This window comes from Homo sapiens, chromosome 14 (assembly GCF_000001405.40).
Source record: "Homo sapiens chromosome 14, GRCh38.p14 Primary Assembly".
Lineage (NCBI taxonomy): Eukaryota > Metazoa > Chordata > Mammalia > Primates > Hominidae > Homo > Homo sapiens.
The window spans coordinates 95485044-95509585 of record NC_000014.9 but is presented as its reverse complement, the minus strand read 5'-3'; the positions used below and the strand labels follow the sequence as shown (position 1 = coordinate 95509585).

The 24542-nt window shown below is 49.0% G+C and overlaps 1 protein-coding gene across 6 annotated transcripts in view, besides 8 other annotated features; it reads left to right on the top strand.

Moving 5' to 3' along the window:
* The window catches only part of SYNE3 (spectrin repeat containing nuclear envelope family member 3), a 109385-nt gene that overhangs the window by 7065 nt on the left and 77778 nt on the right, over positions 1–24542 (top strand). The window contains exon 1 of one of the 6 annotated variants that reach the window (NM_001384282.1): positions 9046–9164. The exons of the other annotated variants lie outside the window; for them this stretch is intronic. The gene's annotated coding sequence lies outside the window, so the exon portion shown is untranslated. Of the gene's footprint in view, positions 1–9045; positions 9165–24542 lie in introns of those variants that run through there. 6 annotated transcript variants of the gene reach the window in all.
* Positions 5537–5586: an enhancer, noted in NCBI's record as "active region_8962". NCBI's record gives its function as "activates an Ori minimal core promoter by ATAC-STARR-seq in GM12878 lymphoblastoid cells {active_cell/tissue: GM12878}" and the evidence as "EXISTENCE:reporter gene assay evidence [ECO:0000049][PMID:35858748]".
* Positions 6037–6086: a silencer, noted in NCBI's record as "silent region_6046". NCBI's record gives its function as "represses an Ori minimal core promoter by ATAC-STARR-seq in GM12878 lymphoblastoid cells {active_cell/tissue: GM12878}" and the evidence as "EXISTENCE:reporter gene assay evidence [ECO:0000049][PMID:35858748]".
* Positions 8455–9034: an enhancer, noted in NCBI's record as "H3K4me1 hESC enhancer chr14:95966889-95967468 (GRCh37/hg19 assembly coordinates)". NCBI's record gives its function as "activates a minimal SCP1, AML or CMV promoter by ChIP-STARR-seq in naive H9 embryonic stem cells {active_cell/tissue: H9 hESC(naive)}" and the evidence as "EXISTENCE:reporter gene assay evidence [ECO:0000049][PMID:30033119]".
* Positions 8455–9615: a biological region, named in NCBI's record as "H3K4me1 hESC enhancers GRCh37_chr14:95966308-95966888 and GRCh37_chr14:95966889-95967468".
* Positions 8900–9194: a silencer, noted in NCBI's record as "tiled region #2313; K562 Repressive non-DNase unmatched - State 7:EnhWF". NCBI's record gives its function as "represses a minimal TATA promoter and a strong SV40 promoter by Sharpr-MPRA in K562 cells {active_cell/tissue: K562}" and the evidence as "EXISTENCE:reporter gene assay evidence [ECO:0000049][PMID:27701403]".
* Positions 9035–9615: an enhancer, noted in NCBI's record as "H3K4me1 hESC enhancer chr14:95966308-95966888 (GRCh37/hg19 assembly coordinates)". NCBI's record gives its function as "activates a minimal SCP1, AML or CMV promoter by ChIP-STARR-seq in naive H9 embryonic stem cells {active_cell/tissue: H9 hESC(naive)}" and the evidence as "EXISTENCE:reporter gene assay evidence [ECO:0000049][PMID:30033119]".
* Positions 13849–14350: an enhancer, noted in NCBI's record as "H3K4me1 hESC enhancer chr14:95961573-95962074 (GRCh37/hg19 assembly coordinates)". NCBI's record gives its function as "activates a minimal SCP1, AML or CMV promoter by ChIP-STARR-seq in naive and primed H9 embryonic stem cells {active_cell/tissue: H9 hESC(naive and primed)}" and the evidence as "EXISTENCE:reporter gene assay evidence [ECO:0000049][PMID:30033119]".
* Positions 13861–13960: an enhancer, noted in NCBI's record as "active region_8961". NCBI's record gives its function as "activates an Ori minimal core promoter by ATAC-STARR-seq in GM12878 lymphoblastoid cells {active_cell/tissue: GM12878}" and the evidence as "EXISTENCE:reporter gene assay evidence [ECO:0000049][PMID:35858748]".

The following is a 24542-nucleotide window of genomic DNA, read 5'->3' as shown; positions in this document are numbered from 1 at the left end:
TCTGTTTCCTGCTCTTTAAAGAGGGAGGTTGAGATTAGGAGATTTCTAAGGTACCTTGAAGTTCAGATGTTTTCTCATTCAAGGACCACAGCCTCAAAGTAGGTGTTTGGGGACTTGGGTCTGGCCACTATAGTTCACCCCCTCAGCCCAGGAGGGTCCAGATCACTGGTAGGTGACTCCCTGCTTATCCGCCTTGCTCTGAGGATTAGGTCCCACGTTCCCAGCTGGCCCAGCTTTCTACAACCTGGGCCACCTCCAAGGACCATAAAGCCCCTAGCTCATCGTGGCCTTTCTCACCTGGACACCTGTGCTCAAGCTGCTCCCCCACTCAGCTCTCCTTCTCCCTGCCCCTTCCCACCAACACCTGGGTAGACATCACCTCCTCCTGGAAGTCCTCCTCAGTCACCTCCTACAGGGTTGGTGATCTCTGTTTCCCTGTTCCCGTTGCACTTTGCCATTGATACTAATCAACAGTTTCAAGAGTGATTCCCCACTAGCCTGTGCCCGCCTTGAGGGCTGGAGACAGGATTATCCTCACATCCCTGCTCCCAGCCCAGAGAGAGCACGCTATTATTACTACTATTATTAAATTAAAAGGCTTTAAAATAGGATCTTATTAACTTTAGGGGTGTTTACAGCTCACTTGAATGTAGTATGAAGGACAGATCCTAATATTTCCAGGACACAGGAAAAAAGTGAGCTCTGGAGCCGTAACCTGAGGCTGGGGAGAGAAGGTGCAATATGTGTCATCTCCCTCTGCGGCCCCCTTCAGGGGACTGTCCTCTTGGAGATTCTCCATTCTCCTGGGTTCTCTGGGGGTTGGCCCCGGAACCTTGCAAATATCTCTTGGCGTCCCTGGGACTCACATCTGATGTTCTCTCTCCTGCTCATGCCAAGTTTCTCTCCCTCTAGCTTGGCTTCTTGTTCTTTCCTTTTCCTAAAAAGTGCCTCCCCCGGCCACACCGTCTCTGCATTGAGATCTCAGCTCACAGTCACGGCCTCAGAGGGACCCTCCTGCCCACGCAGTGGCACTTATCCCATCCTGCCAACATGCTCTGTCCTGTCACCCTGAAATTATTTGTGTTAATTATTTGCAGTTGAGTGTATTGTCTGTCTTCTGTACCAGAAGAAGATAAGGCCAGGGATTGTTATCTGTCCAGAGCCCAGCCATCAAAGCTGCTCAATACTGTCCATATTTCTAGAATGAATGAATGAACGAGTGAATGGGCCGATGGAGTCCATTGGGTGCCATCTAAGATTCCTGCATGGTTCATCTTTACAGCTCATACCTGTTCAGTGCTTACTGAATGTCTAAGTGCTCTCTGCCTTTTTTGTCTTTATCCTCACAACAGCCCAATGAAGGATGCTCTGATGTTGTTACCATTTGGCAGAGAGGTTAAGTAACCCACCCTCAGCTACCTCAGTTAGCAGTGGAGTTGGAAATTGAACCCAGGTTACCTGATCCCAGAGTTCTGGCAGGTAACTCCCAGGCTACACTGGCCTTTCCATGCCAGGAGTGCTGTGGGCTGGAAGTGGTGAGTCACTCAGCCTCCTAACCAGACATCTGGCTCTTTCTCCACAGCCCCCAGTGGCTCTCACACTGCCAGGCCATTCCTCAAAGGAAATCCTTTCTGTGGGACCAGTGTCACATGGGCTAGGAACACCAAAGGTTTTCCAGAGCCAGGGCCCACCCCGGAGCACCCTACCCTGTCTTCTCTGACCACATCCTTTTCTCCTAGGGAAACCCCTCCGCCACTTGTTCACTAGCTGTTGAGAACTTGGTGACCACAAGCCAGTGGCTGTAGGGTTGGGTGTGAGCCAGTTGGGGTTGCCAGGTTAATTTCTGTCATTTATCCAGCACCAGGCAGCGAGCAGGCCTGGCTTCTGTGATTTGCCTATGTATCTGTTTGCTGATTTCAAACTCAAGTTTGCTCAGGCATAATTTTAGAAAATTAATTTTTAAAAAAATTTCATCTTGTGGCGTCTCTTGTCCCACCTCCATCTGGGTAAAAACACCCAAATGCCCAGGGAGGGGGATCCAGGCCAGGCTCTCCTGGCCGCAGTCTTCACTTCCTAATGTGCTCCTTTGAGCAGATAAGAGGATAGCCCCGTAAGTTCCTATCTGGGTCTCCTGCAGGAAGCTGCAGGGTTAGTCATGCAGCACTTAGCTGGAGCCAACTTTGGTTTGGGAGCCAAAGAAGCACGTGTTTGCGGCTGGGATCTGGGCTCTTCCGCTTTGTAACCAGTGCCTTGGGCAATGGCATTTCTTCAACGTACTGACATTGGCTGAGGTGGACACGAACTAGGAAGATGCCAGAGACACAGCGCTGCCCAGTGGGAGGAGTCCAGTGGGTGAGGTGTGTGCTTTAAACAGTCCCATCCTAGGGGACTGTGACTCCATGATAGGGAAGCTCAGGGGGCTGGGCGGGGCACCAGGAAGGACCCTTAAATTTTGCCCAGAGGCACAGTCTTTCTGGGCCTCAACTCTCTTTGCTGTAAGGTGGGGGTGCAGGTGCCGCGCTCCTCGCCTCGCTGGATGTGTTGTGAACTGCGGACCACCCCATGGAGGTAAGGGGTCATCACTATTGTTAGTTTAGCCAGCAGAGCAAGGCGTCACTGGTGCCATCTGTGCAATGGAAGTTTGACTTTCGACTTTGATGGAGTTTCTCTGTGCTCCTGGACCTCAGGTGGAATCCTGCAGATCTGAGCTGGGACCCTGATTTTGTCGCCTGTGGCAAGTCACATAACCTCCATGGGCCTGGGTATCACACCTGTAAGATGGGGCTGGCCACACCTTCCCTGCAGAGTCACTGTGAGGCTCATATGAGATAACAGATGTGGGATTCCCAGCAAGCAGAAGGTGCTGGGTCACGCCCGTTCCAATGGATTCCCTTCCCAGCCTCTCCAAGTTCTCCCTCTTTTCCTTGGGTGCTCCTTAGCTGAGGACGTGACTTTGCCATTTATGCAGGTCACTTGGAAGGGAGCTCAGCACTTCTGCCTGCCTCTGTCCCCAGCACGTGCAGTGAGTTGAACAGGGCGCAGCTGCTGGTGGGTCAGCCCTTGGCTCAGGTGTTGCTGGCCGATGCTCATGCCCTGGCAGGTCTAGGAAGGCATGATGGGCCAGAGTCGACCCAGCCAAGCCTGCGCCCGTGTGCACAGACAGTGTCCTCCTTTAGAGGTATACAGGGTGCAGACCACACACCTTGACCATTCATTGCCTGCCCGGAGCACCAGCCATCTGCAACTGGCCAATGTGATTTTTTTCTTTTATGGAATTAACTATGCAGAAAATAGTCAATATCACCACAGCAGGTCCTGCTGTTTCATTCCCAACCCTGAGCCTCAGGATCCTCCTCAATACAGTGGAGGGGCTTAGACTAGATTAGATCTTGGTGAATTTGGATTAGGGGCTACTAGTAATTGCCAGGATAAATTTGGTGGTACAAGCCCAGGGCACTGAATGACAGCCACTCCTTCTTCATCTCTTTATCTCCCCTCCATTTTTTTTAAATTTTTTTAACTTGTTCTTTTAATCCTTCTGATTATATGGCCTTCTCATAACCACCTGGGCTCCACCCTGGACCAATGAGTTAGAGAGATCTCTAGATGTGGGGCTGCTTATCTGTAGCTTTTTAAAGCTCCCCAGGTGATCCTGATGCACAGGGATGGTTGAGAACCTCTGGATCTTGTCTAGGTGAACATCTCAGTGACATGCTAATCTGTTTTTAACAGCTCTCCAACACTAGCCTCTCTCTGTCTCTAACCATGAGCAGGCCCCAGGTGTAAACCAGCACCATTATCCAGATAGAGTTAAACATTGTTTATGTTCATTATCTTATGATATATGGCAATTGATCCTGACCCTGTTTTTTTATTTAAGGTAAAAATATATTTCTTAATCTAGCTATAAGAAAAAAAAGAAAAAGGTAAAAAGAAAAAAAAAACTTCTTTTAAAATAAACAAGTTTAAATGGGTCAAATTAAAGAATATTAATTAGAAAAGATGTAGATGTGTCTGCATGGCAGATATAGTCAAAATCATGACCGTAATGCACAAATGGCCACACTGTGAAGAAGCGGAACTAGATGACCTCTAAGGCCCAATATTCTGACAGATCTGAGGGCTGCCCAATGAGATCGCTAACCCAGGACTGTTGGCACTAGCCACCTGGCCTGGCAGAGAGTGGGGTAAGCAGGCTTGAGAGTGGCTGTATGCATAGCAGGGTTTCCCGGTGTGGCTTTACTCAGAGCTCTCCAGGGACAGTGCAGCTAGATTATCTCTGTTTCAATGCATTTGCCCTCTTGCTCCACCTTCCCCAGACCATAGGGTCAGCCTGAGAAGCAACCTGTCCAGCAATCAGGGCCATTTCCCGGGGTTCAGCGCTGCCGCGTAAACTCAGCGAATGCAACGTTAGGACCCCGGTGCCCACAGGAGCCCGGCTCCTTCACTTGTGCTTGGGCGAACCAAGCCATGGCGGGAAGGGAGTTGCCCGGAGTCCCAAGGCAGGACCCAGCACTGCTGCTTCCCAGGCCTGGACTTCGTAGATCGAATAGGGTCCCTTCCCCCAGGTCTTAAGCTCCCCAGAAGGGAAACAGGAACAGAATGTGATATAAACAGGCCCTGCCTGGCCCTAGCCAGCTTTTTCCACTTGTGTCCATTGGCCCCTACCTGTTATTACTGGAGAGTTGGCCGGTGAGCCTTTCTTTTGTGAGTGATTGTGTGAGGCTCCTATTGTCTTTTTTCTTTTTTCTTTTTTCTTTTTTTTTAGATAGAGGTGGAGTCTTGCTATGTTGTTCAGGCTGATCTCGAACTCCTGGGCTCAAGTGATCCTCCCTCCTTGGCCTCTCAAAGTGCTGGCATTACAGCCATGAACCACTGTGCCCGGCCTCCTATTGTCTTTTAACTGATGTAGTAATTCACACCGTGAGGCCCTGGGAAGGTGGGACCCAGTCCAGCAATGATTCAGATAGTGCTTGGAGGATGTGGGGAGATGGTTTCAGCAGAACAACTGTGACAGTGTGGGGGGAACTCAGCTTAGTGGCAAAGGCCCCCTAAATGACTGTAAGTAGGATAAATGCCAGAGGGAAAGCCTTGATGGAGACACGATTCTTAGCATTTGGAAACCTTTGCCCATCAGTAAAGCTGGCTATCCAGATTGTGTCACAGTTTGCTGAAAGGACTAGTATAGAATTTTCTAGGATAATGGACCAGGAGGAATGCTGTGCTGATAGGCAGAGGGTAGGGTGAGGTAATTCCCTTGGGCTGATAAATAGCACTGGCCTCTGGAGCTTCTAGAACAAACTTTTGTGGTAAAAGGCCAGAAAGGAAATATGTAAATATATTTTGGCTCTCCATCATATCGAGAAAGCAGCCACAGATGCTATGTAAATGAATGGGTGTTGGTTGTGTTCCAATAAAACTTTATAGACACTGGAATGTGAATTTCACATAATTTTCATATGCCATGAAACATTATTATTCTTTTGATTTTTTCCAACAACTTAAAAATGTTAAAAAACATTCTTAGCTCAACAGCTGTACAGAAACAGGCAGTGGGCCATGGTTTGCAGCCTCCTGTTTAGAAGCCGCCTCTGCAGTGGAGGGTGAGTCTTGCAGGTTTGAGCTAGTCACTCTTCTAAGCATTTCAGTTCTTAAAAACGTAGGTCTGGCCGGGCACAGTGGCTCACACCTGGAACCCAGCACTTTGGAAGGCTGAGGCAGGAGGATTGCTTGAGCCCAGGAATTTGAGACCAGCATGGGCAACATGGTGAGACCCATCTCTACAAAAAATATATGAAAATTAGCCCAGCATGGCGGCCCATGCCTGTGGTCTCAGCTACTCGATAGGTGGAGGCAGGAGGATCACTTGAGCCCAGAAGGTCGAGGCTGTAGTGAACTGTGATCACACCACTGTGCTCCAGCCTGGGCAACAAAGAGAGACCTGTCTCAAAAAAAAAAAAAAAAAAAAAAAAAAAGGTAGTTCTGAAACAAGTCTCAATCTCGTGTCTACTGTTTAAAATAGAACCTAGTGTTAATTTGTTTGCTCATTCAGCAAATATTAATGGTCTAGTGGTTAAGAGCAGAGGAAACTTGTCATATACTGGCTGTGGGACTTAGGGCAGGTGACTTAGCCTCTCTGAGCCTCAGTTCTTTCATCTGTAAATAGGCAGGAACAGTAGGACCTACGGCATCAGTGAAAGAATCCTTGTAAGACTGAGCCCAATGCCTGGCAGATAGCATGCCCTTGGTGAAGGTTTACTATTACTCTCTCATGTCTGTAAAGAGTTAGAGACTGGTATACAAAGGGGTGGATGGCAATGCTTACCCTGCATGGTAGGTGAGGCCCAGAGAAGTTAAGGAGCATTTCCAAGGTCTCAGGCTAATAATAAATGGTTGGACTAGAAAACAGTGTGAGCTGCAAAACCCAGCCCTTTCCATGAGATGCCCTTGCAGGGGACTTGAGGGTAGATTACATCCACTTTTCTAGAGGCTTGCTAATGGGATTAATTTAATCATTAGCACCTTTCCCATGAGAGCTAGGGCTCTTGTAACTCTTCATCCCCGTGCCTTAGATTCTTGGGGAGACCAGCATTGTTTGGGGGGCCTCCAAGCTGGGAGTCCGACCTCCAGCAGCTTGGAGTGGCACCACTCTGACTGTTTTCTGTGAATGTCTTTGGTGGAAACTCGCTGCTCGACATGGAGCTCTACTTTAGAAACCTAGAAACAAGCATCTGGGGAAGACTTTAAGTTTTTCTGAGTCCTGTGGTTTCTGAGTCTCTGCGGGGCTAGCGGAAAGGGCTCTAGAAGGTTCTGGATGTCAAGATTGTGAGTAGCTGCTTTGGAATAATGGAATCCTCAGGGCCTTGTGAAACGAATGCCAGAGGTGAGTTCCTGACCGGTTGTACGTGCTGGTTTTCCTTCTGCAAAATGGAGATGGTGGTGTCGTAATTAGTTGCTTGTTGCTTCAGTTTGGCACGTGGGCTTGCGGGGCACCCACAGTGGATCTCCTGAATGCACAAAGACAGGCCCGGGAGGAAGCCTGTCCTTGGATTGTGGAGGCTTCAGGAGATAAAGCTCAGATAAGGAAGACAGTGACTGGATCTGAGAGCCTGTGGCAGCTGTGATTAGGAGCCAGCCGGGGAAGATGGGGCCTCAAAGGCAGGACACACAGGCTGTAGGCGGCTGTCCCGTCCATAACCCAGAGCAAGTCTCCCTCTCCATCCCAGAGGAAAGGCTGCTCGTGACTCTGGCTAGCTCTGAGGACACAGGCTCTGGGAACCCAGCCCCTGTGAGTGGCTGGAAGGTGGGGGTGGGGGTGGGGGGTCAGTAGAGTGGGGGACAGTCTGGGAGTCTTGGAAGGGGATATGAGGGTGAAAGTTGGTGTGACCAACTGTCCCTGGTTTGCCCAAGACTAAGAGGTTTCCTGGGGTTTGGGACTTTCAAGGTTAAAACCTGGATGGTGTGCGTCAAATCAGGATAAATTGGTCATCCTAGGTCAAAGTCATGCTACTTTGACCATGGCACTGGGCGGTCAAGTCATTGGTAGAAGGAGTAAAGGTGGAATCATCTCTCCCCTGAGCCTTAGTGCACCCTCAGACTAGATTGCCCCTTCGCAGTGTTCCCAGAGCCCCTGTGCTATCCTTCAAGGGTCTGTGTGCCCCCGCAAGAGTCTGTGAAGACAGAAAACCTCCTTGTGCTTGGGGCCAACCCCTGCCTGCTCTAGGCCAGAGTGTTTTGTAAATGCTGTTGGATGAATGAATGAGGCTTGAGACTCTCCACCTTCATTTCTTCCCCGCTGGGGACAAACTACTCAGATGCTACTTCATGCTTTGCTGCGCTGCACATCTTGTTGCTTCCCCCCATGCCCTTCCCTCCTGTGGCCACCTCCTCCACTGTCCCTTCAGCTCAGGAGTCTCCTCCTCTGTGACTGCTCCTGACCAGCCCTCCCTTTGAGTGGAGTTTCTCCTGCCCCTGCTGTGTCCCCTCTGAACCAAACCTCACTGAGCTCCCTAATCGGGCCTGTTTGTGGATGCATCTTTCTTCCGCATGCGCTGTGAGCTCCTCGAGGGCAGGTCTCCAGCTTAGTGTTTCCTCTGCTGCACGTGGCACCTGGATGCCCCATGGAGGTGCCTTGAGAGAATGAATAGAGCTGAACACACGGAGCAAAGATCCGTTCATTCCCTCAGTCACCAGCTCCTCTACGAGGCCTCCCGTATGACAGGCACGGTCCTGGGCAGTCAGGTAGGAGTCATGGACAAGATTGGTAAGGACTTTGTGCTGTTGGAACTCACATTCTAGAAGGATCTAGAGTCAACAAGCAAGCAAATAAATAAACAAGAACATATCAGAAGGTTGCGTGTGCTCTGAAGAAAATGCAAAGGAGAAGATGAGTCACCTGAGCCCCTGCCAGCAGCTTGCAGGCTGGGATGGAGTCACCAGCTCCACAGAGTGGACATTGCTGAGGCCCAGCACATGTGGTGCCCATTCTATGGAGGCAGAAGGCATGCATTGTCCCCTGGGTCGTAGCGTAGTCAACTTGGGCACAGTGGCATTTGCCTTTCATGCAAAGCGTGTGGACCATCAGTCCCTTTAGAGAAATTCATTAAAGCCAGTATTGTCTGAGAGGAGAGAGAAAATATTTTAGAAAGTCAGACGGGATTTTGTGCCTGGTGTGGGAAGCAAGCGTGTGTCCCTCCCGCTTCACCGCCCCCGATCCCCCACTGGGAGTACAAAGAATGGGGCTCGTGTGCTGACCGTTTGCTTCTTCCAGTTGGGTGGGTGGCCTTGGAGCTGTAGCTGCAGCAGGAAGGGTCAGTGACTCTGCTATGGGGCTGCTGGGGACAACCCAGGGTCCTGCGAGGGAAAAGATGTTAAAATGGCTGGCCACTGTCCCACGGGTGGTCAGGGAGAGGATCAGCGGGAATCATGAAGGTGGTTGCTCAGCTTCCAAGTGCTGCACACAACAGTGGGGCATTGTTCTCTGGGTCTGATGGGGAGCTCAGCCCCGGACACAGGCCAGCTCCAGGAGGAAGGCAGCCTCCTCCCGCTGAGTCCGGCTGGGCCAAAGCAAAGTCCCAGAGGGCAGCTTCTCCCTGCTGCCTGGCTGTGGGCGGCCGCTGGTGCTGAGGTCTGGGGACTCAAGAGGACACCTACGCGTCTGCAAGGTATCACTCACTCCTGAGGGTAGCCCCTTCAGGTTGGGATCCATAGAGAGCAGCGGGACAAAAGGCAGTTCCTAGGCTGGATGCCCGGCTTCTCACAGGCACGTCGTAAACCTGGCGTCTCAAAGTTCTGGCAGGAACAAGCAGGTACTAATTATAACCTGTACAGCCTGTTAACAGTCGACCTTGGACTCCAAGGAGGTGAAGGTTCTGGGGAGAAGGTCTCAAGGGTCCTCTGGATATCTCAGATATAAGACAGGAGGTAGGCCGGGCGCAGTGGCTCACGCCTTTAATCCCAGCACTTTGGGAGGCCGAGGCGGGTGGATCACCTGAGGTCAAGAGTTCAAGACCAGCCTGACCAACATGGTGAAACTCCGTCTCTACTAAAAATAAAAAAATTAGTCGGGTGTGGTGGCAGGTGCCTGTAGTCCCAGCTATTCTGGAGGCTGAGGCAGGAGAATTGCTTGAACATGGGAGGCGGAGGTTGCAGTGAGCTGAGATGGTGCCACTGCACTCCAGCCTGGGCAACAAGAGCTAAACTCCATCTCAAAAAAAAAAAAAAAAAAAAGACAAGAGTTAGTGATACAGGGGATTCTTCTAGGTAACTCAGTGGACATCATCCTGCAGCCCCAGCAGAATGAGGACAATTTAAAACAGCCTGGGCTCTGCTAAGGGACTGCTGGGGAGAAGAAAGGGGCAGGATTGCTTGCTGTGTGACCTTTGGCAGGTTACTTAGCCACTTTGAATCTAACCTCAACTTCTTTATCTACAAAAAGAAGCCAGTCATTCTGGTTTAACGGTGGGTGGGAGGACTCAATGAGCTGATGTGTACAAATACCTCATGGGTACTTAGTAATGTTAGTTCCCAGTCCTCTACACTATGAAAAATCCTGGAAGGCTTTCTGGAGGTGGTGATGCCAAAGCCAATGGGTGAATGTAGCCAGGCAGAGAAGGGCAGAGGGACCAGCAGGAGCAAAGGGGAGAAATGATGCATACAGGGAGCCACAGGTGGTTCCTACTGCAAGTAGAGGAGGTGGGAAGTAGGGGAGGCTGAGGCTGCAGAGATGGATGGAGAAGGACTTTGAATGTCCTGTTAAACTTCTTGGACTTTCTCAGGTGGAGGCTGTGAGGCACAGGAGGCGTTCATTCAGAAAAGCCTTTGACCCTGAGCCGTTAGATGCTCCTTTCTGCCAAGAGAGGACTCTGGTCCCCCTGCCTCCTGCAAAACTGGCAGGTTTCCCGGGAAATGAATGGAAACATCCTCGTGCCTAAGCCTCTGGATCCAGGAAAGGATTTGGCTCTGCCAGTCAAGGGCCCAGGCACTGCAGGGCCATGGATCTCCTTAAGGGTTCAGTGAGTACAGCTCTGAGATTCACTCCCGCCAAGAACTCCCATTTGAAATGAACCCTGCCGTTTCTCAGGCTGGGGTGCCAGTTATTAAATTAAAAGTGAGATTCGAATGGTTCTGTGTTGTTTTTGTAAACCAAAGCTGAAAACTGTGGAGGGTATTTTTTTTAGCTGGAAAGTAAAGCATGCCAGGCTTTCTAGTCCGCCTTGTCCTGCTGCCATAGACCCAGGGCCAGCCGGATCCAGCCTGGGGGGGACTGAGAGGTGGCTTATTTGTGTTGAGGGCCTATGGTGCACCAGGCTCACTCAGTGCCAGGCTCTTTGCATGCTTATGGGTGCCATTGTCATCCTCATTTTACAAATGAGGAATCTGGGGAACAGACAGGTGAATACACTTGCCTGAGTCACACAGCTAGTAGATGGAGAAGACAGATGCAGTCCTATTCTATACATACTTCAAAGTCTGTACCTTTTCTGTCTCATGTAACTTGAATGCTGGACTTAATACTCTTAACTTTTTCTGAAAGTCTAGTGGAACTATGAAATCTTTGAATTTGTAGGCCCAGAGCGGTGGCTCACGCCTGTAATCCCATCACTTTGGGCGGCTGAGGCAGGCGGATCACCTGAGGTCAGGAGTTCGAGACCAGCCTGGCCAACATGGTGAAACCCTGTCTTTATTAAAAATGCAAAAATTAGCTGGCTATGGTGGTGCATGCCTATAATCCCAGATTTCTGGTGAAATGAATGGAATCCCAGCTACTTGGGAGGCTGAGGCAGGAGAATCGCTTGAACCCGGTAGGTGGAGGTTGTAGTGAGCCAAGATTATGCCACTACACTCCAGCCTGGGTGACAGAGCAAGACTCCATCTCAAAAAAACAAAACAAACAAACAAACAAAAATCTTTTAATTGTGATTAAAATGTAACTTTAAAAGCCTCTAATTTTTTTAAAAAAAATTGTTAATACCACTTTAAGGAAATTGAAATCTTAGAAATGTACACATGATTTCACTGCTCTATGATGCTACTTTTTTCCTTTTTTTTTTTTTTAAGAGTTGGGATCTTGTCCTGTCACCCAGGCTGGAGGGGAGTGCAGTGGCGCTCCTGTCACAGCTCACTGCAGCCTTGGATTCTGGGCTCAAGAGGTCTTTCTGACTAAGGCTCTCTAATTGTGGGGATTACAGGCACGTGGCACTGCATCCGGCTTCATTCTTCATCTTTTTTTGACAGTTTTTGAATGATTTGCACAGGAGGGGTTGACAAACTGTGGCCTGCTGGTCAAATGCCACCTGTTTTTGTAAATAAAGTTTTGTTGGAACGCAGTCATGCTCATTTATTTACATGCTATCTGTGGCTATTTTCATGCTACCATGACAGATTTGAGGAGATGTGACGGAGACCATATGGCTTGTAAAGCCTAAAAGCCTTGCTCTCTGACCGTCTCCAGAAACAGTCTGCCAACCCTCGCTCTAGAGTGCAGCGCTTTGCAGTCTGCTCTTTTTCTCTGCAGACCGTGCATTATTCTAGGGTGTTAATTTCTCGTTGTAAATGGCCAGATTATGCTGTAGAGTGGGTGGATGTCACAAACTTTCCTTGCTGGACTGTTATATTGCATCTTTTTTTTTCTCCCCTCGGGAAAACTGTCACATTTGCAAATTTATTATTTATTTGTTATATAGCACCTACTGTGTGCCAGCATTGTTCTAAGCACTTTACCAATATGAACTCACCTAGTCTTCAGATCTGCAGTGAGAAGTTTATGCTAATACCATCCCCATATTACAGATGAGAAGGCAAAGTCAGAGGAGTTAAATATACTGGGCTAAGACCACATAGCTTATTTGGCAGCAAAGTCAGGTTTGAATCCTTAGCAGCTGTTAGGAAGTGTCCCAGGAAAAGCAGGCCTTTGTGAATCCCTGTGTGGGGGGACAGGGGCTGGGGCAGTGACTCACCAGGAGTGAGCCCTGCCAGGCCCCCTCAGCCCAGCCCTGGAGCCTCACACCATCCAGATTTGAATTGGCCCTAATCTTCCAGCTCGGGCCAAGTGACCACAAATTTTATTTCTTTGTTTAAAATGGCCCTGAAAAGAGGGCCAGCAGCTGATGCTAAAGAGCAAGTGCAGAGCCCTAAGAAAACAATGGCTCCGGATCAGAAAAATACCATTTGGGTGTAAGAGTACGAGAGTGGATAGTTGAGCCCGGCAGGAGTGCTGCTTCATGGCTGGAAGACTCCACAGCTTGCTCACTTGCTACATAAATGATAACTTTGCAAATATTTGAGTTGCCTGGAGAAAACATAAATGCAATATAACTGTCCAAGAAAAAGGAAGTGGTTCAAGAAAGTTTGTGACCTTCACTCCATAGAATATTCTGAGCTGTTTACAATGAGAATGTAATGATGGACACTGTGGATTGCTTGTGGCAAACATATTCTTATCTTCTGTGAGATAGGGGGTCTTAGGGGAGGAGGAGGGAATTCCAGACGTTCTCACCAGGAGAACAAGCTTCCTAAGATTTCATGGAGCCCTCGTGGCCCATCCAGGTCCCACCCCCGATCCCAGGAATGATGTCAGAGGAGGCTGGTTAAAATCCCCAGCTCACAGACACATTTTGGAATGTGAATTTAGCTAGGGCTTCCCACAGGACATTCATAAATGGGTGGATTCCAGAAGGTCCCATGTTAAGAAATGCCATGTTAGAGAGACTGGAGTGGAGGGATCAGGGGAGGGAGTCCACAGTGTTGAGAATCCTCCAAATGCAACACTCACTTTGCAGAAGAAGAAAGAGACATTGAGCTTTGTCAGGGCAGGATGCTCTTATCTGTTTGGTTCATCTCTGTGATCTTCAACACTGACCACAGTGTCTGGCATAGGCTTTGAAGGATTTGTCATTAAGTGAATTAAGCATCTCCCAAGCTTTGGAAAGGAGAGAAATTGGGTCTGGTATAGTTCTTGATCAGAAGACAAGACGACCACAACCTGACTCTCTGCCCATCCACTTAGGGTCCTTTTAGGGCATGGCCTTCATCTTCTCCCGGCCCCTCTGAGTGGAATGAGAGGTGGGAGAGACCTGGGTTTTGGAGCCGCTGCCCTGTCAAGGTGCTCTGCCTGATTCATTTCAAGCCATACTCTTGAGAGGCCCACTGGGGAAGGCTTCGCAGGCCCAGCTGCCATAACCCCAAGCCTCACTGGCCCCTCGGGCTTGTCCCAGGCTTAGGACTGTTCACGGGGGACAGTCCAGCATGAGCCACTGGGGCTCACCCTCCACCCCGTCTGTCTCTCAGTCAGTTGGGTGTGAGATGGGAAATCCTGTTCTGAGTCAAAAAGGAACCCTCCTCCCTTGCCTTCCTGATTCACTTCCTCATTCTGCCGACATTTTACAGCCTGGCACAGGTGCTGGAGCCATGCAGGCCTGGCCTTGCTTCTGACTTGGTGCCTCAGTCACTGTCTGACGTGGGCAGGAGAGCCAGCTTCAGTTTCCCCATCTGTCAGGCAGCACGATGACCCCTGATTTGAAGGTTGATGGGGGCCTTCATGGTGTCTGCCCAGTGCCTGGCACACAGCAGGCCTCACCCATGGGAACTATTGCCATTGTGAGTAGCATTTGATAACATTTTACCCAACCAACAGGAGTCTCCTTTGGCACCCTAAGATCAAGACCCAGTGATAACCTTGACACCTACCAGGACAATCATAGGGTCGCAGATGAACCCAGAGCAGGAGACAGGGTAGCAGCAGGCAGGAGACTCCTTAACTGTCAAACAGCATTGTCCAAGGTGGGCCCGGCTGGGCATTTTGCTGGGAAAAGGACTGTAAGGACAGACTGGGCACAGACACTCTTGGAAGGAATGGAGGCTGCTCTCACAGTTCATTAGACATTGGCAAGCTTAATCAGTTCTTGAGAAAAGACCCTTCTATCTGAACCCATGGCCTTTTTTTTCTTTCTTTTCTTTTCTTTCTTTTTTTTTTTGAGACTGAGTCTCGCTCTGTTGCCCAGGCTGGAGTGCAATGGCATGATCTCGGCTCACTGCAACCTCCGCCTCCCAGGTTCAAGCGATTCTCCTGCCTCAGCTTCCTGAATAGCTGGGATTACAGGTGCCTGCCACCACGCCCAACTGATTTTTGTATTTTTAGTAGAGACGGGGTTTCACCATGCTGGCCAGGCTGGCTCGAACGCCTGACCTCAGGCGATCCACACACCTCAGCCTCCCAAAGTGCTGGGATTACAGGCATGAGCCACGGCGCCCAGCACCCATGGCCTTTTTTTTGAAGAGCAGGTTTACAATAAATAGGATGCCTTAGGGTTAAACGGCACCTTACAAGGCATTTCCTAGCATGTGACTTAAGGTGCCCTGTTGCAAGGGCCCTGCTTGGTCCAGTGTGGTTTTCACACCATTGAGCAGATGCTGCCCTGACTGCTTGTGGGTCCTGTCACTGAGTAGGCTGTGCCACTCTCTTGCTCACAAACCCTCACTGGCTCCCTATTGCCCACAGAGTAAAACCCACACAACCCTTTGGAATCCTGTGCTGTTCAGTCCCCTCAGCCTGCTCTCCAGTATGGCCTCCTCCCGTCTCTCTTTGTTAACAATTGCCAAACCCATCCTGCAGCCTGAACTTGGCCTTGCACTTCCCCATCTCCCAGCTTTTGGTCTCGCCAGTCCATCCACTCGTTATGCCCTTTCCCACTTCTCATCTTATTCAGACCCTGCTCATCCTTCACATCCCAGCCAGGGTATCCCTTCCTCTATGAGCCTCTCCTGGAATCTTCATAAGAATCATTGCTCCTTTCTCTAGGCTCTGTGCCTCTGCATTTAACACCCATAGCACTCTCATTTAGAGCTTGTGATCTGGAGAACCCGAGCTTGAAACCTATAGGCCCTAGTGGCACCGCGCCAGGCACATCTGGATGTGGAAGTCAAATGGTCTTTTTTTTTTCTTTTTTTTAAGAGTCAGGGGTCTCACTTTGTTGCCCAGGCTGGCTTCAAACTCCTTCTACCTCAGCCTCCTGAGTAGCTGGGATTGCAGGCAGGCACCACCACACCTGGCTAAATGGTGTTAGATTTGAATTCTCGCCTCCCAGCTACTATCTCTGGAATCTTGGGCAGGCCATGAAACTGCTCAGCTTCAGTATTCTCATCTATAAAACAGGAATGAATATTAAGACCTACCTTTCAAGTATAAAATTAAAAAAAAATTATCTCAACAAATGCTATTGAATTGGATTGAGTAGCTTTCACAGGGGGAGTTTATTCCTCACCGGAATTCCAAACACCAAATGATGGGCTGTTGGGTTGAGAACCCTGGCGCTCAAGGCTATTTGTATGCCCCTGAGGGCATCACTCAGCTTTATTTTCCTCTAAGGCTGTCCGTGGCGGCTGGCTTCCCACAGCGATGCAGCCACTGGTGGCCACCCCTCTTCTCCCAGGCAGGCATTTTGCCCATCCCATGGGGCTGCATTCAGCATCTCTTTTGGGAGGCAGAGTTTTTTTCTGTTTGTTCTGTTGTTTGATTCAAAAATTTCATGTCATTTATATAAGGTCTATAAGACCCATAGGGATGCTGAAATGGTGTCAGGCTCTCAGAAGCAGTCTGGCTCAGCAGCTGGGACAGCTGCAGCTCCGGAGTTCAATACACCTAGGTTCAAATTCCAGCTCTGCCTCCTGGGCAAAACCAGTTCTGAAATTTTATACTCAAGTTATCTCACCTCTCTGAGCCTCAGTTTCCTTATCTCTGATACGGGGATGATTATACCAACCATTAAAGTTGTCTTAAAAAGCAAGTGCATTAATAAATGCTTGGAGAGGGAGGGGCATATTGACTAGCACCTAATACCTGCTCAGTAAATGGAACGTACTGTTCTCCATTTGGAAAAAAAGGTCTCAAGCAGCTTCTTAGCTTCCTTTACATTGGCACCCCATTTATAAGGTACAGGTTTTAGCTTCCTGGAAGGAAAAACTTCCTTTGAGCCTGAGCTATGTAACAACAGAATAGGCTGCCTGAAGAAGGCAGTGAGCCACCCATCACTGAAGGTGTTCAAGAATCTTGGCAGCCTTTGGTGGGTGTATTTTTAAGGAAATTCAAGCAGAGATGGTTGATTAGATTAGGTCAGTTTTAATGGCCCTCCTAGTTTTGGGATGCTGATGTTTTAAAAAACAGCTTTATTGAGATATAATTCATATAATATACAATTCACCCATTTAAAGTGTACAATTCAGTGCTTTAAAAAAAAATAGAGCCAGGTTCTTACTGTGTTGGCCAGGGTGGTCTCAAACTCCTGGCCTCAAGCAGTCCTCCCACCTCGGCCTCCCAAAGTGTAGGGATTACAGGCATGAGCCACCTCGCCTACCCTCAATGCCTCTTAGTATATTCACAGAGCTGTACAGCCGTCACCACAATCATTTTTAGAATATTCTTACTACCTCCAACAGAACCCCTGCACTCCTTCACAGTCAACTCCCAACCCTCCCACCTCCCTAGCCCTAGGAAACCACTAATCTACTTTCTGCCTCTGTAAATTTGCCTGTTCTACACATTTCACATCAATGAAATCATACAATACATGGGACCTTTGTGACTGGCTTCTTTCATTTAGCACAACGTTTCCAAGGTTTCTCTATATTGTGGCATATGTCAGCACTTCATTCTTTTTCACAGGTGAATAATATTCCATTGTATGGATAGACCACGATTTCCTTATCCATTTATCAGTTGATGGACATTTGGGTTGCTCCCACTTTTTTTGGCTATCATGAACATTTGTGCACAAGTTTTTGTGTGGACATATGTTTTCATTTCTCTTGAGTATATATGTAAGAGTAGAATTGCTGGATCTGATGGAAGCTCTATGTTTAATATTTGAAGAACTACCAGGCTGTTTTCCAAAGTCACTGCACCATTTTCTGTTTCTACCAGCAGCATATAAGGGTTCCAACTTCCCTACATCTTCACCAACACTGGTTATTATCTTCCTTTGATTATAGCTATTCTAATGGGTGTGAATTAGTATCCCATTTTGGTTTTAATTTGCATTTCCCTGATGGCTAGTGATGTTGAGAATCTTTTCTGTGCTTTCTGGGCTTCTCAGTGTGCTCATTGGCCATCTTAGATGTAGGTATGATTTAAAGAAATGTCTATTCAAATCATTTGCCTATTTTATAATTGGGTTGTCTGTTTATTATTGAGTTTTAAGAGTTCTTTGGATTTTCTAGATGTAAGTCCCTTATCGGATATGTGATTTGCAAAAATTTTGTTCCATTCTGTGGGACATCTTTTCACTTTCTTGATGGTGTCACTTTTTTTTTTTTTTTTAACATTTTTGCCTTTGAAGTACAAAAGTTTTAATTTTGATGATGCCTAATTTATCTATTTTTTTATTTTGTTGCTGTGCCTTTGCTATCACATCTAAGAAACCATTGCGTATTCCAAGGTCAGGAAGATTGATGCGTATGTTTTCTTCTTCAGAGTTTTGTAGCTTTGGCTCTTACGTGTAGGTCTTTGATCTATTTGGAGTTAATTTTAGTATACGGTGTGATGTAAGAGTCTAATCTCATTCTTTTTCATGTGGATATCCAGTTGTCCCATCACCACTGTTGAAAAGATTATCCTTTTCCATTGAATTGTCTTGGCACCCTTGTTGAAAATTAACTGTCTGTAAATACAAGGGTTGATTGTTTCTTTCTCTGTGAGTCATTTTGAAGAAATAGAATGATCCTTCTCAGAGGCACAAGATAGGTCTTGGCCATCACTCTACACTGAGCTGCTGCCAGATCTTGGGCGGGTCTACTTCCTTCACTAAGTCTCCTCATCCATAAAACGGCACAGCTAGATAAGAGAATTCCGAAGGACAAGTCCAACTGTCACATGTTACCTGCAGGGAGGTTTCCACAGAATCTTTCATTGGCTCACTGGAATGTCCTGTCATCCCGTGAGGCTTACCCCGCAACCCGAGATCTAGAGCCAGCCTAAAATCTGGGGGCAGTTCCAGCAACTCCCTACCCTGACCTGGCCCCAAGAACAGCCAGTCCTGCCTTTCCAAGAAGTTGATGTTGTGTGTATTTATTGAATAAGCAGCACTGCCCTCCTCCTCTGTGCCAGCTGTGTCCCAGGCCTGAGGATACAGAGGGGATGAGACATAGCCTCTGCCCTTGAGCGGGACATTCTAATGGGAAGGTAGACATATCAACGGATGATGCAGAGCTGAGTGGGGCATGCTGGCTGGTACTGCGTGCCACAGCCTGCAGGTGTGAGAAGGTGGATGGCAATGCATGGCTTTGCCGATAGGGCCACAGGCCTGGCCCATGTGGTGAACACTTGCCCTGGGCCATATCTGAAGAGTGTCAGGTTGAGCTGTGGAGTCAGGCCACCATGGGGAACTCTTCATAGCTCTTTCACCCACCAACCAGCAGCAGCTCTTACTTGACTTACACCTTTGGCTCTGCAGCCAGCCTCAGCATGCTGACCAGGGGCTTGCTGGACACTTGTCTACAAGCTCAGTATAGTTCAGGGTAACAGGAAGCCTCTGCAGCTGGCCTGCCTGAAGTTCAATCTTGGCTCTGCATGCTTTTGGGAAAGTTATTTAATATCTCTGTGCCTTGTTTCCTATCTGTAATAAAGGGCTGGCCATGGCATCTACCTGATAGGATGTTTGCTTCTGAAGCCCTGTATGGTGCTGTAGAAAATAGCTGGGCACAGAGCTAGCTCCTGCCAAGGTCTCCAGCTGTTACAGGTTGGAATTATAGCTTGGAACAATATAGCATTTACTCCAGACTGCTGTGCATGCCATAATCGGTTATAGCCCATGGCTATTATGCGTTATAACATGGAAATATGGTATAATTAGCCTTTAGCTTGCCAGAACAAGAGATGACGGTGATAGTCCTTTACATTGGGATAGGGCAGGGCCTCTCAGCAGCGTGTATTTCCCTTACTAACTGATTCCGTTAGAAAAAGCCCCAAGGTGAATCGGACGTTGCCTTGTCCTTCACAACAACCTTCCAACTTAAAGCTCACTCGTCTCAGAGTGGGTGGAAGTCAGGTGTGAACTATTGCTCCACTCTGACCATTGAGGAAACTGGGGTTTGGGAGCAAGTTGGCGGTGGAGCCCACGCTGGAACCATGACTCCTAACCCCATTCCAGAGCCTGTTCTGCCCCCACTCGTGGCCTGAAGGAAGCCTCTTATTTTGGGGTTACAGAGTCTGTGCTGAGGCCCACTCTTGCCTCTGATTCCTGCCTTTCTCAGTTCCCCTGAGCCAGCAGCATGTGAAATCAAGGACTAATGAGGGCAGAGAGATGTCCATCCTGGCTCCACACTTCTTTCTTTTCAAAAAAAAATAAGCCAGGCATGGTGGCTCGTGACTGTAGTCCCAGCTACTTGGGAGGCTGAGGCAGAAATCTTGGGCCTAGAAAGTTTGAGACCAGCCTGGGCAACATAGCAAGACCCTGTCTCTAAAAATAATCAAATAAAAGAACACTTTCTGAGTACCTACTAAGCACCAACCGAGGTAGGTATTGTAGTTTATATTTTCCAGATGTATCTTTCATTCACAAATGTGTGTGAGCACTTACTGTGTGTCAGTAAGTGCCACGTGTTGTGATCAAAATAGGCAAGGGCTGTGCCCAGAGGCAGTTTATGTTCAAATGAGAACAAAAGGCTCAGAGTTCAGAGGAGTTGGACTGGATTCAGGTCCCTGAACTCAAAAGTTGTTGATTTTCAATCCTTATTCCAGGAGAACCCCTGGCAGCTGCATGAGTTGTTCAGAAATTCCAGGCCCTACACAGGAATCTGTCTGGGACCTGTAGGAGATGGGAGAGAGGCCCCATGGATGTGCTGCTGGGGAGCTCAGAAAGCCCCATGCACCTGTGGGTGACTCCATTTGTCTTCTGCTTTTACTGGCTTTGGCTGTTGCTTCATGGTGCTTGGTTCTGTCCTCAGAGAGTTGCCTGCAGGGAGTTGGCTGGCAGCACCCTGAGAATTGGAGCAGGTCCCTGTTGGCCAAGTGTCTTTGTCACTCAGTCACTCAGCTGCTCACCCCCTTAGCCATCAGCCAGCAGGCCCGGTGCTCAGCACACCAAGGAGCTTTCAAGGAGGAGATCCCTGGGAAGTGCTCAGCACAGAGTCTGGGAGCTCAGTTAGGCCGTCCTACACCACAAATGCCAAAACCAGTGAGAAATGCAAGCCACAGTGAGCCAGCATGACATGCTACCAGAAGGGCTAAGATGAAAAGACTGACCGTACAGTGTTGTCAAGGCCGTGCAGGAATTGGAATTCACACATGGCTGCTGGGTATGTAAAGAGGTGCAGCCACTTTGGAAAACAGTTTTGCAGTCCCTCCTCTCCTCTCCTCTCCTCTCCTCTCCTCTCCTCTCCTCTCCTCTCCTCTCCTCCCTTCCCCTTCCCTCCCCACCCCACCCCTCTTTTATGAAACAGGATCTCCATGTGTTGCCCAGGCTCATCTCAAACTCCTGGGCTCAAGTGATCCTCTCACCTTGGCCTCCCAGAGTGCTGGGATCACAGGTGTGAGCCACCACGCCTGGCCTTGGCAGTTTCTTAAATATACACCTACCATGTGATCCAGCCATTCCACTCCTAGGTATTTACACAAGAGAAATGAAAGCATATGTGCACACACAAGTATTCATCACAGCTTTGTTGGAAACTATCCATCCGTGGGTGCATGAATCCACAATCTGTGGCACAGGAATGCTATGGAATAGTACTCAGTAACAAAAAGGAACAAACCACTGATACAGGCAACGACATGGATGAATCTCAAAATAACCATCCTGAGTGAAAAAATCAGACCCCTCTCTCTAAAAAGAGTACAGTTGACCCTTGCACATTGCAGGGGTTAGGGGTACCAGGCCCTTGCACACTTGAAAATTTAAGTCTAACTTTTGAATCCCCCAAAACTTAACTGCTAATAGCTACTGTTGACTGGAAGCCTTACTGATAACATAAAGTTGATTAATACATACTTTGTATGTTGTATATATTACATACTATATTCTTACAATAAAGTAAGCTAGAGAAAAGAAAATGATATTAAGAAAATCATAAGAAAGAGAAAATGTATTTACTGTTTATGAAGTGGAAGTGGGTCATCATAAAGTTCTTCATCCTTATCGTCCTGATGTTGAGTAGGCTGAGGAGGAGGAGGAGGAGGAAGAGGAGGGGTTGGTCTTGCTGTCTCGAGGGTGGCAGGGGCAGAAGACATCTGTGTATGAGGGGACCCACACAGTTCAAATCTGTGTTGTTCAGGGGTCACCTGTATTTTCTGTGTCATCCCATTCCATTCATGTACAAAACTCTAGGAAATGCAAACAAATCTACAACGACAGTCAGCAGATCAGTGGTGGCTGGGAGAGGGTGTAGGTGGGAGGTGGGAATTACAAAACCAGCCAGGGAGCTTAAAGGGGAGGCGGGTATGTTCATTTTATGGACGGGTGTTGGCTTTATAGGTGTATATCTAAAACTTATCAAACTGTGCAGCTGAAATATGTGAAGTGTCTTATTTACCAATTATACCCCCAAGAAGGTGGTTTAAAATAATGGCAGCTCCAATCTCCAGCCGATCAGTCAGGAAGATGAACATGACAAACCCCTCCTCAGGGAGCTCCTGTGGTTCGTGCCAGCAACACGGACAGTGAAACACGGCATCGCGGTGGAAGTGCCGGCTCCGGGTCTCACTCTATCCCTCACCTTGCCAGGCCTCCCCAATCCTTGGTCTTCTCACTGAGAAATGGGAACAATAACAGGACCTACCTCCAAGGTGTAAGAAATATAAGAAAGAATGTAAGAGAATATAAGAAAATCATGTCAAATGCTTAGTAAACATGTCATAAATGGCAACAGCCACTGGGCCCTGTGGGGACCCAAAGAAAGGAGAAGTCGCTTCTACCAGGAGGAGCAGAGGCTGAAAAGATTTCTCCTCTGCACCTGCAGTGGCTGTGAGCTGAAAGAGACAGGGAAGAGTCAGCTAGAAGCAGGTGCGGAGGGGCGGGTGGGGCAGAGTGGGGGAAGGACTCTCCAGGCAGAACTAACTGGAGCTGTGGCACCCAGACTCTAATATTCTGGAAACACAGGCAGTGTGGTGCAGCTGGCATGCAGCGCAGGGAGCACCCTGGCCAGTTAGGACTGTAGGGCTGGCAGGAGGCACCGTCCTTGAGGGTCCAAGGAACACTGACTTTATCCTTCAGGCTGGGGTCCCTCACCTTGGGGTGTCAGGAGGATTTCTTTGGAGACCATGAGTTTTATGTGAAGTTTAAAAACTTGCGTGTAATAAAAACAAAAAAGTGTAAACCCTATATTTTGGCACAGTCCTTTTCAATGGAAAGACATGTTCATCTAGTAGAAGGCTGTCATTTCTCAAGTCCTTGTTGAAAAGAGTACATTCTGAGGATGTGTTCTTGTGCAGCCATAATTTTGCTTTAAAAGCGTCTGTCCATGGGCCGCTGGGGTTTAGGGCTGAGGAGGACTGTGGTGACGTGTGTGTGGTCATTGAACCATTCTTGCTCCCTTGGGCTGCAGTACAGATGGCCCAGGAAGAGGGAGATGTCAGGGAAGGCAGGGCCAGCCAGCCAGGCAGGTCTGGGGGGTTCAGGGAGGGTCCCTCTGTGGGGAAGACCCCTGCCTGAGAAGGCATGAGGCGCTGGCGGGGAGGGTAAGGCCTGGCACCTCTGACTCCCAGGGCCAATAAGACATTGGGAGAGGGGTGGGGGGTGGCCTGGGGGACAGGTGTCAGTGCCATGTTGTCAAGGGTGCTGGGTGGGTCACTGAGGAAGGTGCAGGCAGATGCAGGGACCAGGGGTCAGACATCCTGGGTGGCACTGCCCCACTGGGCCAGATCTTCTTGGGGGTGATGGGGGCCTGGGGGCTGGCTCAGTACCTGGGATTAGCCTTGCCCCAGAGCAGATGGGAGCTCTCCTCAGGGGCCAGGGCCCTGGAGATTTCATCTATGGGCACTGGGGAGTGTGTTTCCACTGAAATGTGTGGGGTCGGGGAAGGGCCGCTTTCCCAGGGCTTCCAGAGGACACAGCCCTTCTCCCTTCTGCCTGGCATCATGCGGATGGAGCTGATAAGGGGTGGTGGGGGTGCAGTGTACCCCTTGAGTGCAGGCTGCTGTCTGCACCTCTGTCCCTCCCCTGACCCTTGTCCCAAATCAGACTCTGCTGGTCCTCAGGGGTGAGGTGGGAGAAGTTGCATTCATTAATATTGACTCAGAGCAGGTGCTGAGCTCCACGAAGGAGGTGAAGTGAGGAGCAGGAGAGATGAGGGGACAGATATTTATAGTCCAGTGGGATCCAGGCTGAGATGGATGTCTGCATAGGAGTGGCCATGGCTGTGTCAGTCATTCAGGGAAGGCTTTCTGGAAGAGGAGCCATCTGAGCTGAGCCTGTGGGGATGCTGGGTATCCTAGAGGGAGTGGTGTAAGGGGAGAGGGAGAGGAGACAGCCTGGTGAGGGCAGAGGGAAAAAAACGCTGAGCATTTCGGCATTCCTGGGAGGTCTAGGGGCTGTGGGGCAGGGGTGGCCATCAGAAGGTGGGGTTGCAGAGCTCCTAGCACCTGTAGGTTAGGGCGTCCTGTCTTTGGTCGGGGAGCAGCCGACTCTCTCAGTTTACCTTCAGGGCATCTGAGGAATGTGTGCGTTCTCACTCTCAAGTGAATGCCTCAGGTCTATTGATTAAGGTGGCTCCAGGGAAGCTGTGTGAAGTGAAGCCCATTGGAATGTGGGGAGGGGGCCAGCAGCCCCGCCTCACTCTGTCCTTCTCCAAGAGGAGGAAGCCTGCTCTGCTCTTCAGAAACAGAAGTGACTGATGCAGTTGAGGCAAGAAGGGCAGGGGTTCTTTGCAGTTTCATTGCTTTCTGATTTCTAATCTTGGCCTACATTGACTCAAAGCTAATAGGACCCAGCCCCAACCGCCCTCCCACCGTGTGGATGAATTTGCCAAATACACACTCACGCCCATGGTTAGAATCATCTGTTCTCATCTACGGGAGGCTGAGACATCCTCCAAGCCCATGGTTCTCAAAGTGAGGT